The following is a 14,688-nucleotide window of genomic DNA, read 5'->3' on the forward strand; positions in this document are numbered from 1 at the left end:
CATAAAAACTATTCATTATGTAATATTGTGTATCTCAAGGACAAGTATCCTAAATATTCTGTTTTTATACAGTGTGTAGTAGGTTTTAAATCTTTTTGCATTACTGCTTTTCAAAATATGCTTTGGTTTAAAAGGAATATGTATTCATGCTTAGATAATAATTTCAGATTTATTCAGTAGTACTTTTTAGAAAAATAATGTTAATTTGTTTGTTCAGCATTACAAAGTCCTGGTAACTGCAAGATGTCTGGCAATGACATCAACCATTATTTTCATGAAATATAAATCTGGAGGAGCTCACCACATATGACATTTATAGGCATCATGTAGTAGTATATTTTCCCAGTTGCATTTGGATGAGATAAAGCTTCTGTTTTTCTTTTAATAACTTGTTGGTTATGTATAGGAAAAAAAAAACAGCAGGAGAGAAGCATAAATGCTATCTTAAAAGCAATTGGATTGCATAATGACCAACACTTAAAAAATGTTTGTGTGGGGCAGCGCAGAAGAATAGTCTTAATCATTAGCTGACATACTTCAAAATTATCAGCTGGTAGTCCAAAACCTGATCTTAATTAAGAGTAACTTACTTAACAAATGTTCTTTATATACCCTATCTCCAGTTTTGTGATCTCTTGTTCTATGTAGACGCAGTTCTTCAAACAAGTTATATTTACTGCTTCCCCTTCTTTTGTGTGACATGTTTTCATGTTTACTTCACTTTTAATCTAGTAAGCTTCATCTAAATGTAAACTAAAAATTGCACTGTATTTCTTAAAAATAATTTTTAAATATTCCCTGAACCCCATCTGATATAACACACTTTTATTTTAATAATATCATATTTTGTTGTCTCTGTGTACTGTTCTCAGCTACCTTTTTTTTTTTTTTTTTTTTTTTTGGAGACAGGGTTTTGCTCTTGCTTCCCAGGCTGGAGTGCAATGGTGCGATCTCGGCTCATTGCAACCTCTGCCTCCCACGTTCAAGCAATTCTGCCTCAGCCTCCCAAGTAGCGAGGATTATAGGCATGCGCCACCACGCCCAGCTAATTTTTGTATTTTTAGTAGAGACAGAGTCTCACCGTGTTAGTCAGGCTGGTCACAAACTCCTGACCTCAGGTGATCCGCCCACCTAGGCCTCCCAAAGTGCTGGGATTACAGGCGCCTGGCCTCTCAGCTGCTTAAATAAGAATTAAATGAACTATTTTGCTCTTTTTTCTTCTCTAAGAAATAGTTTCTAATCAAGTACAACTTAAAAGATGAGATCTTTCTTAAATCTGTTGTCTCCAGCTTCCGTGTAAAGCTCAGTTTACTCATAAAAATATTTTGAGATATGTTACCTGACCATCCTCTTTATTCCCTCACCTTCCAATCTTAGTTCAGTCTGCTTGATATCTGCCTTTAGCCCCAGCTTTCCTAGACATTTTTTGTACATACTATATTAGGTATTGTTCTAAACTGTTTACCTGCTTAATTATTTGTCTCAAAAATTTTAGAGGCAAAGCCCAAATATTTTTAGTCTGGTATAAAACCACTCAATGTATAATAGTTATATATATTCTGCTATCCTTAGAAATAGTTGTCAACTCTGCTTTTGAGTTTTTCATTTATTTGTTGTGTATGTAATATACACAAAGGTTGTACTACATTCTTTGGGGAAATAACAAAGAAATAGAAAGCATGGCCACATCCTTGAAGGAGCTTATTTAAAATTTACTTGGGAACATAAAACATAAACACAGGGGCTATGAAAACAGTTAAAATAAAACATCAATTTGTGGTGATCTCACTGAAATATTTAACCAAAAGTGTTCCCTACCAAAATGTTTGATTTGGACCTAATCCCGAGAAAACAAATTAATGTAGAATATTCTACAGAACAACTGACTTCTAAAGTGTCAGTATCATAACAACCAAAAAAGTTGGAGGGAGGCTTCTCTAGACTAGAGAGACATGGAAACCAAATGTAATGTATGGTCTGTGATCAGATCCTTGATCAAAAATGATATCTTTGTTCATAGACATAGTACATGCTGAGGTAATTAGGGGTTAAATATGAATGACAACTATTTGCTTTCAAATAGGTCAGAAAAAATTGAGTATGTATGTGCATACATAGAGAAAAAAGATAAAAGTGACAAAATGTTAATAATTAGTGAATCTAGGTGAAGAGTATAGAGATGTTCACTGTCCTATTTTTTCATCTTTTCTGTAGTTTAGAAATTTTTTTAAATAAAAAAGTTGAAAAGTTAAAAGAAGGATATTAAAAGATAAACATTTGAGAATATAAGGTATGAGAAACTAAGCAATTAGAATAAGGTGTGGACTCAGTCATTAAAGATACATTTTTGCGATGGGCTTTACTTAGTTAATAGAGAGGAATTGGCAAGAGATAGGTAATCAATCAACTCTTCTAGTTGAAAAATGGAGTTTGCTTTGCTGTCATGTGTTTAGCCATACCATATATGTGATTAGCCACATCTTTTATGATTTTTCAAAAAAAGAATTCTTTTTTGCTCTCATATGTTTAGGTCTATGATTATATATAACCCCTTTTGTTAAAACATTGGAAATACCTAGAATTTGTATTCTCTGAAGAACAACATGAATTTTTTTCTTTTTGAAATTCACTCTCAAGCCAACTTTAGGTTATCTGCGTTAGAGCCCACAGTTCACCAGGAGTTGCAGATACTTTTCAGAGCAGCACTTTAGATGAATTTTCTCCACCTATAATGTGTATGCTAATCACTGGTTAAAATGCAGATTCAGATTCAGAAGGACCAAGATGGAGCCCAGTTTTCAATTTTTAAACAACTCCCACTGGATGCCAAAATTAATGCCGCTGGTCTTTAAACTGCAGTTTGAGTAACAAAGATACAGATGATGATTCTCAGTAGGGATATGGGAAGATGAATACTTTAGTCTTCCCAGGATGGTAGGGTACTTATCTTTAAATTGTTATTCCTACCTCCCCTACAAAATCCACATTTCTTACATAGACCAAGAGGCCCTTTTTAATCTAGCCCTTGTGTGCACCAACTTCTTACCCACTAGCCACACTGGCCTTGTGTTTCATTGAATACGCCAAGCCTTTCCCATTTTAAGGCCTCCGCACTTATCCTTTCCTCTTAGAATGCACTTCTCCTGGCTTCTTCCAGAGTTGGCTTCATGTTATCCATTTAAGGTTTAATGACATCCTCTTAGAAAAACCATGCCTGGCCATCCTACATATTAATTACCTCTTCTAAGTTACTGTGTACTGTATCACTCTTGTTGTGTCTTCTCTGGTACTAATCAGCTTACTAACTTATCTTATATATTGGTTTGTTTACTGCCTGTCTTTTCCTCTATTATAAGATCTTTAAGGATAGGAACCTTGTCTGTCTTGTTCACTACTATATCCCTTATGTTTAGAATAGTGCCTGAGACATAGTAGAAACTATACATTTTTTGTTAAATAAATGATGAATGAATGAACAAATGGACCAACATAGATTTTGATAGCGGTAGATGATAATAATTACTGGCAGAGTGAGCACCTCTGATTGACAGCAGTATGATCTATTCTTATCTCTCAGGTGGATTGGGAACCAGCCCCCTGCCCTACACTCCTAAAACAGGTTGAACAGCACAGCTCTGAACTTCAGTGAAGATATGTTCAATTACTGCAAACTTTTCTTATATTTTTATCCAACCACTACTTTGTTTTCCTGTGAGTGTAGAAAACTTTCTCCCTGGCTTAGTCTCATAAAAGTACCCACAGCCATACAAGAAATGTTTAAGTAAATGCATGAGTGGGAGTTTGGTAGATAGTAATTACTCAAGTTAATAGTAGCATTCATTCAACAGATAGTAATTACAGAGTTGGAATTTGGCCAGAATGTTCAGGATGACATTCCTGCTCTTTTAGATAGTGAAAACAAATGCTTTTGTTATCACAGATAATCATAATATTGAGGTTGATCTATTAAGAATATAGGTCAAGACACTACTGTTAGTGAGAAGGGTGCTTCTTAGCTTTTTCCTGTAACATCAGTTTAGGTCTGATTCAACTAACAAAAAACCCCAACACCATTACCTATATTGTTTGTGTTTTTCCTTAAGGTCTCTTCTTATTACTTGCTAGCCTGACTTGAGTCATCAAATCCAACAAAAATCACGGTTTACACTCTGCTTCAGGCTAGCTGCGTTTCATGTACTATATCTGACTACTACATCTGAAACATTCTTCTTGGTAGCATATTTCAGTCAGAGTATGAAAATTTTCTATGACTAAAGTCACTGTAGTGGCCTTATTTCTTCTCCCCAAGCCAGAGTTTTCAGTGTCTTCAGTCTCCTTAACTTCAATTGATACTATTAAGTTTTGCTCCTTTTTTGGCCTATCACTTTACCTTTCATTTGTGCCAAGTATAGTCAGTAAGAATCCATAAAGTGAACTGAGTAGAAGTTTGCTTACCTAATCTCAGTGTCCTCTTCTTACTCCTCTGTATTTTCAAACCTTGTCTCAAGGTCTTAGGCAGCATGCCCAAGAGAAATACCAGAAGAAAACAAACTGAAAGACAAAGCAAGTGGTGCAGGGAGGTGAGAAGGCAGATCATGATAGAGCAGAACTGGGACTAGACTGATGAGAGAGAAAAGATGAAGGTGAAAGAGTAGAGACCAGGAAAGTTCTGGAGAACTAAGGATAAATATTAAACTGTAAAAGGAGAAGTGGCCGAATTAATACTTTAAAAATAAAACTTTTAAAAGTACTGTTTTTCAAAGGGAGTTACTCATATTATTTCCTTGGAGAACAGTTTTGAAGAGGAGATAAAGATAATATGGAATTTCAGCAGTATGTAAATGATACTTTTTTTTTTTTTGAGACACAGCCTTGCTCGGTCGCCCAGGCTGGACCAGGCTGGAGTGCAGTGGTGCGATCTAGGCTCACTGCAACCTCCACCTCCCGGGTCCAAGCGATTCTCCTGTCTCAGCCTCCCGTGTAGCTAGGATTACAGGCATGAGCCACCACGCCTGGCTAATTTTTTGTATTTTAGTAGGGACGGGGTTTTACCATGTTGCCTTGGCTGGTCTCAAACCCCTGAGCTCAGGAAGTCCACCCGCCTCGGCTTTCCAAAGTGCTAGGATTATAGGCGTGAGCCACTGCACCTGGCCAACACTTTCAAATGCTCAGACTGTTTTCTAGATTAGTGTGAACCATGTTAGCCATACTGACATCATTTATTTGCTTCACACTTTTTTCTTCGTCATAAAGAGAAGGTAAACCTCAGTTCAGCATCTTTTGATTCATTGTAAATTTTAAATCGGCCACAGCTATGTTAATGAAACTTTAACATATTGCCTTAGTTAAATGCTGATGAGATGAAAGAAAAATACGTATGCCAGATATATTACATGTCTAGCCTTTAGTATGCTTTTAGTTTGAGCTTAGAAAGAGATTCTGTGTGTTTTGAGGACTTTAACAATAGTAGAGGCCAGGCACAGTGGCTCAGGCCTGTGAGCACTTTGGGATTCTGGGAGGCTGAGGTGGGAGGATCACTTGAGCCCAGGAGTTTAAGAACAGCCCTGGTAACAACTCTACAAAAAAAAAAAAAAATTTTTTTTTTCTTTAAATCTTGGCTTGGCATGGTGGTGTACTCCTGCAGTGCTGGCTACTTGGGAGGCTGAGGTGGGAGGACCACTTGAGCCCAGGAGTTAGAGGTTACAGTGAGTTATGATCATGCCACTGTGCTGTCCGGCATGAGTGACAGAATGAGATTCTGTCTCAAGAAAGAAAAAACAAATAGATTCTAGAGAATTTTAAAGCAATAATAATCACCTGAATTTACCTCAGATAGCATGGATTTAGGAAGTAAAATTCAAAATCCTACATAGATATTTAGATGTAGTCTCTTGGTTTCAACCAGGAGTACTCAGCAATCCCAGTGGTTACCCAAGATAATAAAAAGACAAGGGAACAAACGTCAAGGGTTATTGTTAAAATGGTTGTCCGGTAAAGAGAGTAGTGATCAGGGTGAATGGGAAGTTGATATGACAATAAAGTTGATGAATGAATTCATAAGGAAATAAACAATTGAGAGAGTTATATCAACAGAGCTTTGAGATGTTGGAGAGATGGAGTAGTTTTGAACGACTGGATCTGAGGGATTGCCTTAGTAGTGGATAGAAGTTGAGATTTTCAGTGTCCAATTTGTTAAAGCAGAATCATGATATGGGGGAGGAAGACAGAGCAATATGGCCAAATAGAAGCCTTCAGCAATTGTCCCCCAGCAGGAACATCAAATTGAAAAACTATCCACACAAAAAAGCACCCCCATAAGAACCAAAAATCAGGTGAGCAATCATAGTACCTAGTTTTAACATATTAAGGAAAGAGGCACTGAAGAGGATAGGAAACACAGTCTTATATCTCCTATACCACCCCTCCTCCATTCCCCCTGGTAGCTGCCACATGGCGCAGAAAGAGAATCTGCACCCTGGGTAGGGGGAGAGCACAGTGATTGCGGGACTTTGCGTTTGAATATGGTGCTGCCCTGTCACATCAGAAAGTAACAAGGGGCAGAGCTCAGCTGGTGCCCACAGAAGGAACGTTTAGACAGCTCTAGCCAGAGGTTAATCTTCCATCTCAGCAGTTGGTATTTCAGTTCCAGCAGCCCCTGCCACCATGGGCTAAAGTGCTTGGGGGTCCTAAATAATGATAAAGGAGTCAATTCAGCAAGAGAATATAAAATTTTTAAACATACGTCTGTCCAACACTGGAGCATCCAGATATATAAAGCAAATATTACTAGAGCTAAAGAGATAGATAGACCCCAATACAATAATAGCTAGAGACTTGAAGACCCTTCTTTCAGCACTGGACAGAACACCCAGACAGAAAAACCACAAAGAAATATCATACTTAATCTGCAGCTTACACCAAATGGACCTAATAGATATTTACAGAACATTTCATGCAGTGACTGCAGAATACACATTCTTCTCCTCAGCATATGGGTCATTGTCAAGGATAGACCATATGTTAAGTCACAAAACAAGTCTTTAAAAGTTCAAAAAAAAATTGAAATTATATCAAATATCTTCTCTGATCACAGTGGAATAAAACTAGAAACCAATAGCAAGACACATGGAAATTAAACAACGTGCTCCTGAGTGACCAGTGGGTCAATAAATTAAGAAGGAAATTTAACAATTTCTTGAAAGAAATGAAAATGGAAATACAGCCTTCCAAAATGTATGGGATACAGCAAAATCTGTGCTAACAGGAAAGTTTATTGCAATCAGTGCCTATATCAAAAAAGTAGACAAACTTCAAATAAACAACCTAGTGTTGCATCTTAAAGAGCTAGAAAAGCAAGAGCAAACCAAATCCAAAATGAATAGAAGAAATAATGATGATCAGAACAGAAATAAATGAAATTGAAACAAAAAAATACAAAAAGATGAGTAATCTCAGCATTTTGGGAGGCCGAGGCGGGCAGATCACGAGGTCAAGAGATCGAGACCGTCCTGGCCAACATGGTGAAACCCCGTCTCTACTTAAAAATACAAAAATTATCTGGGTGCTCTAGTCCCAGCTACTCAGGAGGCTGAGGCAGGAGAATCACTTGAACCTGGAAGGCGGAGGTTGCAGTGAGCTGAGATCGTGTCACTACATTCCAGCCTGGCGACAGCAAGACTCCGTCTCAAAAAAAAAAAAAAGAAAAAAAAGAAAAAAAAAGAAGGTTTTTTTGAAGAGATAAACAAAATCAAGAAACTTTTAGCCCAGGATAAAAAGGGAGACCTTACAACTAATACCACAGAAATTCAAAGGATCATTAGAGGCTACTATGAGCAACTATATGCCAATAAATTGGAAAACCCAGAAGAAATGAGAAGTCTTGCAGTAGTGTAGACATTATCCAGCTTCCTGGGCTTTTTTCACTTTGTGTTGAAGGGTACACATTGGATGAGATATCATTCATCCTCAGGAGAGGGTTTAGTTTAATATTGACCATCCTTAGGAAGCTTTGTTGGAGGAAAAAGAATACTTGAATTTGTACCTGACTCTTACTTCTGCCCACGTCTTTCACTACAGTATACTCCAAGCTTGTACTATATGATCTTCCCTGCTGTTTAGTTTATATAACACTGTTTTTTCAGACCTCAATGTAGCATCTTTCATTTCCCTCCTACATCACCATGTCCACATTAAATCTCAGCTTCTGGAAAACAGAGGTGAGTTGCTAAATATATCTTAAGCTCACTTTAGCCACCATCTTCAATGCCTTATTCTCTTTGCCTTCTTTTTTCCTCTCATTTTTGGCTGAAATACTAGAACTGATTTTCATAGAACCAAAGGTTTATAGGAAATAATCTACCATTAAGTGGCAGTTATAAAGACTTTTCATATTCAGCATGTAAAGTATGTTAAAGATGCAGGCTCTGGATTATTTAATTTTATATTTTGTTTCTGTTTCATTTGCAATTTGGTATTTTCATTCTGTTTGATGCCTTAGTTGAAGAATTGGAAAGAACATGAAAACCTCAAATCACATTTATTTGGCTCTTTCAGTTTCAGTGGGGAAAAAAATTGAAAATATCTGCTAAAATGACATTGTATACTTTCTAATGCAAACTAATTTTTATCTGCAATTCATTTTTCAGATTTTAATTTAAGGATGTATATGTGTATTGAGAGGCCAAGTAAGGCATATAACCATTTCCATTCTAAAAGCTTCATAATTTCTCTTAGTATGTGAGTTATTAATGCTTCCCCTAAAGATAAATTATCCCAGAACTCTTCCATTTTTCTCTAGTTCACATTCTCTGACATATAGCTATATCTGCACTGTTTCCCCTCCCTCACCTACCAATAGGCCTTTAACAGGAGGCAGCTATCATCATTCATTGATATTATTGAGTGTAGTGTAGTATGAAGTGTTCCAGAATATCTCCATGTGACTACCCCTATTCTATGATGTAAGTGAAAGATTGATAAGTTGTCAGAATTATGCAATTGACAGTTCTGTGTTTGAGAGGCTGAAGTCATAGCTTGCAGATGGTTTCGGTGCGGTACAGGTTGGTGGACCTCACTGCCCCCACTTTCTGCACTCTATCTAGGTTCTAAAAGAGATTCTTAACCACTTGCTATTTATCATGCAGAGATTTGCTTATCAAAAATGTATACCATTTTCCATTGAGAAATTGTATATCACTGCTTTGCAGCTAGTGATACTTAGGTTTATCAAATTCTATATTAACCAGTTTTAGACATATTAAAATATACTTATATAATTTTTCATATTAATTTTTGTGTACGTTAATTCCAATAAGTTAAATATTTAGAAATTTTAAATATTTTGACCTGTATTACATCTCTAATTTTATTAATCTTTTTATCAACAAGCTTGTGATATCTGCTCTTAACTCTTAAATATCTTCTGATAACCATCACCTTTTTAAAAATCATTTTGGTTTTAAATATTACTTTTTATTTGTTGAGTCATTAATAAAAATAAACTTTTATGAACAGCAAGCCTCTGAGAAGAAAACATTTGATATGCTGGAATGTTCCTGTATTGCCTGCTTTAGCATGTGTGTTGGCAGGGTGTAGATACATACACCCCCACAACGACCCTCCTCCCACCCTATGTAAATGTACTCACTCTACAGCATTGTAAAGGATTTCATTGTGCCATTTTGTTTTCAGAATCATCTTTCACTCTTTTGTGAGTATAATGATAGTAGCTGTCTCTATGATGAATTTTAATAGTTACAGATTACAGTATACTTTCCTTAGTCCAAACCTGTGTTTCAAGCTCTGTAAAAGTGGTTTTAGGTTTTTAAATTCCTATCTTGGAAATATTTTGCTATCATCAAATTTCATTTTCTTTAAATTGTATATAATGAATGTGTTCTCCCTTTTTAGGTGCGCTTTGTAAAGAATATAACTTCCTGGAAAGAGATGAAACCAGGATTTTATCATGGACACGTTTCTTACTTGGATTTTGCAAAGTAAGTTACACTGAAATGACACGCTAAAGAATGCTTTGTACTCTAGTAACCTAAAAAGGAATAAATTCATTAAATTGTTATGATTTTCTAATAAAAGAATGTACTGTCTTGCCTTTGCCAGTTTTAGATCTGTAATTTAAATATACCTTCTTAGTGTTTTACTGCCCTCTAGTGTTCATAAATTGGCAATTCTTATATTAATTACATATTAGTTATTACTCTTTAAAGTTTATTATTATTGTGTGTATATGCCTTGTACAACCAGAATGACACTACTTCAGGAGAGCTCAAGTTATAACCTAGAGGCCAGATTATGACTTACCACATCATTGAGAAAGCAAAAAAGCTCTCACTAAGTTATTGGTGCTCCAGTGTGTCTGCTTCTCACCCAAGACATACTGAAGTGTACACTTTCCCTTGGGCTACCTTATTTTAGCTTTAAAATTATGATGTATTACGAGGCTTTTTTAAAAAAAATTCATGATTTCCTCTCTCACCCCCCCTCTCCTTCTCCCTCTCTCCCTCTCTCCTTCTCTCTTGCTCTCTCTCCCTCCCTGTCACTCACTCACTCACTCACTCACTCACTCACTCCTGGACTCAGGTGATCCTCCTGCCTCAGCCTCCCAAAGTGCTGGGATTATAGGCATGAGCCACTGTGCCCGGCCTCTGTCATATTAATAGTTCTCTCAAGAAGGGTTCAGAAAACTATATGCCTACTCACAGTATTCAAGTACTATGTGGCTTTCTGTACAGTCTGTGCCACATTATTAATCAGAAAATTAATTAAACTTAATATTCCAAACATAACAGTCTTATGGATACATTTGAACTTTTTTGGTAGTACACATAGTACCATTGTAGTAAACCTCAAATCCAAATGTTTTCCCTAAGATTCTGCATTAACTTCAAAAACACTAAAAAAATTTTTTTTATTATTTAGCTTAGACATGTTTATTCAGTTTTTAAATTAGCTATTATGATTTCAGAGTAACACACCTTGATATATTGGTCAACTTTAAAAGGCATTTTTTATAAAATTTAAAATAAAAGTGATATCCCACTCTCAGTTTTACTTAATTTTGAAAAGAAAAAGTAGAATGAAGTATTACTGATTCAAACTGATAATCTTAACTTTTTGGGAAATCATGTAATTAAAAAAGAATCACCCAAATATTACATACATAAAGTGATATGTTCCTATTTCTAGTTCCTCTCATAGTACTCAAGATCTTTCAATCAAATTGTAGCTCTAAAGTTAGATGTATGTTTTTCTATAAATAATTCATACTGCAATATTGAAAATATTTTATAGGCAGCTTTAAAATAAACTAATTATTTTTTTCTTTGCATAGGCATTGAACCAATTTCATAAGCTTCGTTCATGTGCATATTTTCCCTCAGGGCTGCATTATCCTTGAATTGAATGTTTGTTACCCTTTCACCTAAATGATTTATTCTTTCCACACACAGCTTGGTTTCTAATAGTCTAGGTTTTCATTATTAAAATTATAAATTGAGTGCTTTTGCTTTTGGCAAAGTCTTATACTTAGAACAAAGCTCTGATATATGCTGAGGTTCTTGTAGTTGAAAAAATAAGGCTTTTTGAAGAGATTAATCTCATTTATTAAATGCTGACATGAATTTTTAAGCGTTTGAATATTTTCATAGTGAGTCTTATGTTATTTGAAGGGAAAAGTATTGTGAAAATTTTTCATAGATTTTTCCAAGATTTTAAATACCTAAACAAAATCAGCCTAGGTGAAATGTATTTTGATGTATCTATGTAATCAAGAACTGTTGTAGATGTAACTAGTATCCTCAAATATCTTTTAGCTTAATAGCCATATGCTCCATAAATGGGGAAGGAAAAGGAAAGAAACATCGCCTTACCAATTTTTTAGATTACAGTCGTTCCTGGGGTATGTCCAGGGTATTGGTTCTCGGACTGCCTGAGTATATAAAAATCGCATACTCAAGTCCCTCCGTTGGCCCTGTGAAACCCACGAATTTGAAAGTCACCCCTTGTACACGGGTTTCACATCTCTCAAGTACTGTATCTGTGTGTGGTTGAAAAAAATCTATGTATGCATGGGCCTGCACAGTTCAGACTCGTGTTGTTCAAGGGTCAATTGTGCTTTACTCTTCAAAACAATATTCTTGACTGGCATAGTACTTTGTGGAGTCCAGTAAAATACTTGCTTTCAGGAGAAAGTGGTGAATTTGGCAAAATACTTATTTAACACATAGTTTTTTTAAACTTACCTTATCAGAGACATTAAAACGAATGTAAGCCCCAAGAAACCTAGGAAATAAGATAGAGAAATAAAAAATGAACGCTCCTTTCTAGTTTAGCCCGACCACGAAGAAATACACATTATATTTGCAAGCTTGTCTACTCAAGCCATGTTTTGATTACATACATTTGTTTTTTACTGAACTTTAGAATAATAACAAAAATATCTTTTTTACATTTTTGCATTCCTATCCCATCTTGCTCCTTTTTGTCTGAATCTTATTCTTTGATTTTTTTAAAGTATATTTCCTAGTTCTTCTTCCTTTCCATTTTTCCCTTTAATGTTAGGTTATGTTTTGTTTTCTTTTTAATTGGTGAATGATACAATTTTAAGATAATGTAGATATAAATTATTATAAATTTGAAAATTTTCCAGTTTAAAATTGTATATAGGTTGGACATTTTCAAAATGTCATAGTATGCAGGAAATATAAAGTTGAGTAAGTTGCAGTTCTTGACCTTAATGAGTTCACTGAAATCTTTTTTTCTGTAATTACCAGTTCATGAAGTTTTATTATAAACAGTAAAAATATTAAATATTCCTCCCCTTTTAAATGTGCACTATTTATTTTTTAATAGCATCTATTAGCCCATTTTGATTTTCTTCAAACTTTAGAAAATTAAAATGTTAGAAGTCTCTTTCAAAAACACTTCTTCAGCAATAAACATTTTCATTTATAATGAATAATAGCTAAAAGAACACTTTTAATGCTGTACTTTCTGTCAGACTCTGCTAAGTTTTTTATGATCTAGCTACCTCAGTGTCACATGTCAGCATCTGTCTTGAGAGGTATTTGAAAATTATTTTTGATATAACAGTTTTATTCAGGCACGTATCAGGTATGTACCTTTGTAGTTGTCCCTAGAAATGAGAATGAGTTTTCATTGCTGCCATTTTGGTTCCTCCATATTGCCGCTAGTATCATTTTCAGAACAAGTGAGGTGAATCAGTAAAGAAGCAGCTATGTCACGACAAGAAACAACTAAATGCTTCATTAGGTCTGAAATTCTAAACAGTAATCAAGTGACAACATTTTAGGCCTAAATAGAATTAGTTAATATATAGAGTCATGTGAGATTGTCCTTTCTACCTAATACTTCTCTGCTAAACCAGTTGACGTTTGCCCCATTTTCTACAACTTTTAACAAATATGTCACAACATTGTAGATACTTTAGAAAATTATTTTAATCATTCCAGACAATATGTGGGAGTTGCGTTTTTATTAACCTTGTACTACTAGCTCTTTCTACAGCATTGATCCTGTAGACTGCTAAGAAGCAATCTCTGAAGTCTGTCTCTAAAGTCAGACAGATCTGCCATTAAATCCACTTAGACTCCTTGCTAGCTGTGTGATCTCACCCACATTGTTTCAGATCTTTGAGCTTCAGTGTCCTGTTTTTAATTTGAGAATAATTAAAGTAATTACTTCATGGGGTGGTGGTGAGGATTAAATGTGATAATGTAGATGGAGCACTTAGTTCTGTGCCTCACGCAGAGCAGTATGGTGATTCTTTTTAAAATTCTGTCTTCTTTCAGTTACCATATTGTCTTAACTGGTGTTTTCTTCTTCTCCTTGTCTGAATCTCTGCTGGTCCTTATTTCCAACTCTTAATTGGGCATTGTATAAGACTCTTAGCCTCCATTATTCTCTTTTGGAAGGTTTACACATTTTTGTCTGTCATGACACCCAAACAAGAAACTTTCAAGTAATCTTGGACAACTTTTTTTTATCACCACCTATATCTTATCAGTCATCAAGTCTTTTGAGTGTCTTCTTTCATTTAACATGATGCTTTTGACATTCATCTAATTTGATGCACATATCAGTAGTTAGTTCCTTGCTAAGTAGTACTTCATGTATGGGTGTACTTCGATTGATCCATTCACCAGTTTCTGGATATTGAGGTTGTTTATGGCTTTTGGTGATTATGAATAAAGCTGTCAAAACATTTGCATACAGGTTTTGTGCGGACTTATGTCTTAACTTCTCTTGGATAAAAACCTCAAAGTGGGATGGCTGGATTGTATGGTAACTCAATAAGAAACTGCCAAACTGTTTTCCCAAGTGATTGTATCATTTTGCCACCAAACCAACAGTGTTTTAAGAGTTCCAGCTGTTGTGTATCCTCACTAGCATTTGAAATTGTTAGACTTGCTCTTTATTACAAAATGTGAGCCATTCTAATAGGTGCACAGTTGATGAATGCCCCTTTTTAAGACATAAATTACTTTAAAAATATTTATTTACACTATCATCAGTGAGACCAACAAATACCAACAGGTCATTCACTTTTTTGGATACAGGACAGTGGGACCTTGCCACTAGGATTAGAAAGTTTCTATGAAGCTTTAGGTCTGAGAGAGTCCAGAATAACTATGTACAATGTCTCCAGCAAGA

At 35.4% G+C, this 14,688-nt stretch overlaps 1 protein-coding gene across 2 annotated transcripts in view; it reads left to right on the top strand.

The window, feature by feature from the left end:
- HS2ST1 (heparan sulfate 2-O-sulfotransferase 1) overlaps positions 1–14,688 on the top strand; it is a 195,348-nt gene that overhangs the window by 159,650 nt on the left and 21,010 nt on the right. For both annotated transcript variants that reach the window (NM_012262.4, NM_001134492.2), the window contains exon 3: positions 9,910–9,995. In NM_012262.4, coding sequence (NP_036394.1) covers positions 9,910–9,995 — 86 coding nt within the window. The remainder of the gene's footprint in view (positions 1–9,909; positions 9,996–14,688) is intronic.

The sequence above is a fragment of the Homo sapiens genome, chromosome 1, assembly GCF_000001405.40.
Source record: "Homo sapiens chromosome 1, GRCh38.p14 Primary Assembly".
NCBI lineage: Eukaryota > Metazoa > Chordata > Mammalia > Primates > Hominidae > Homo > Homo sapiens.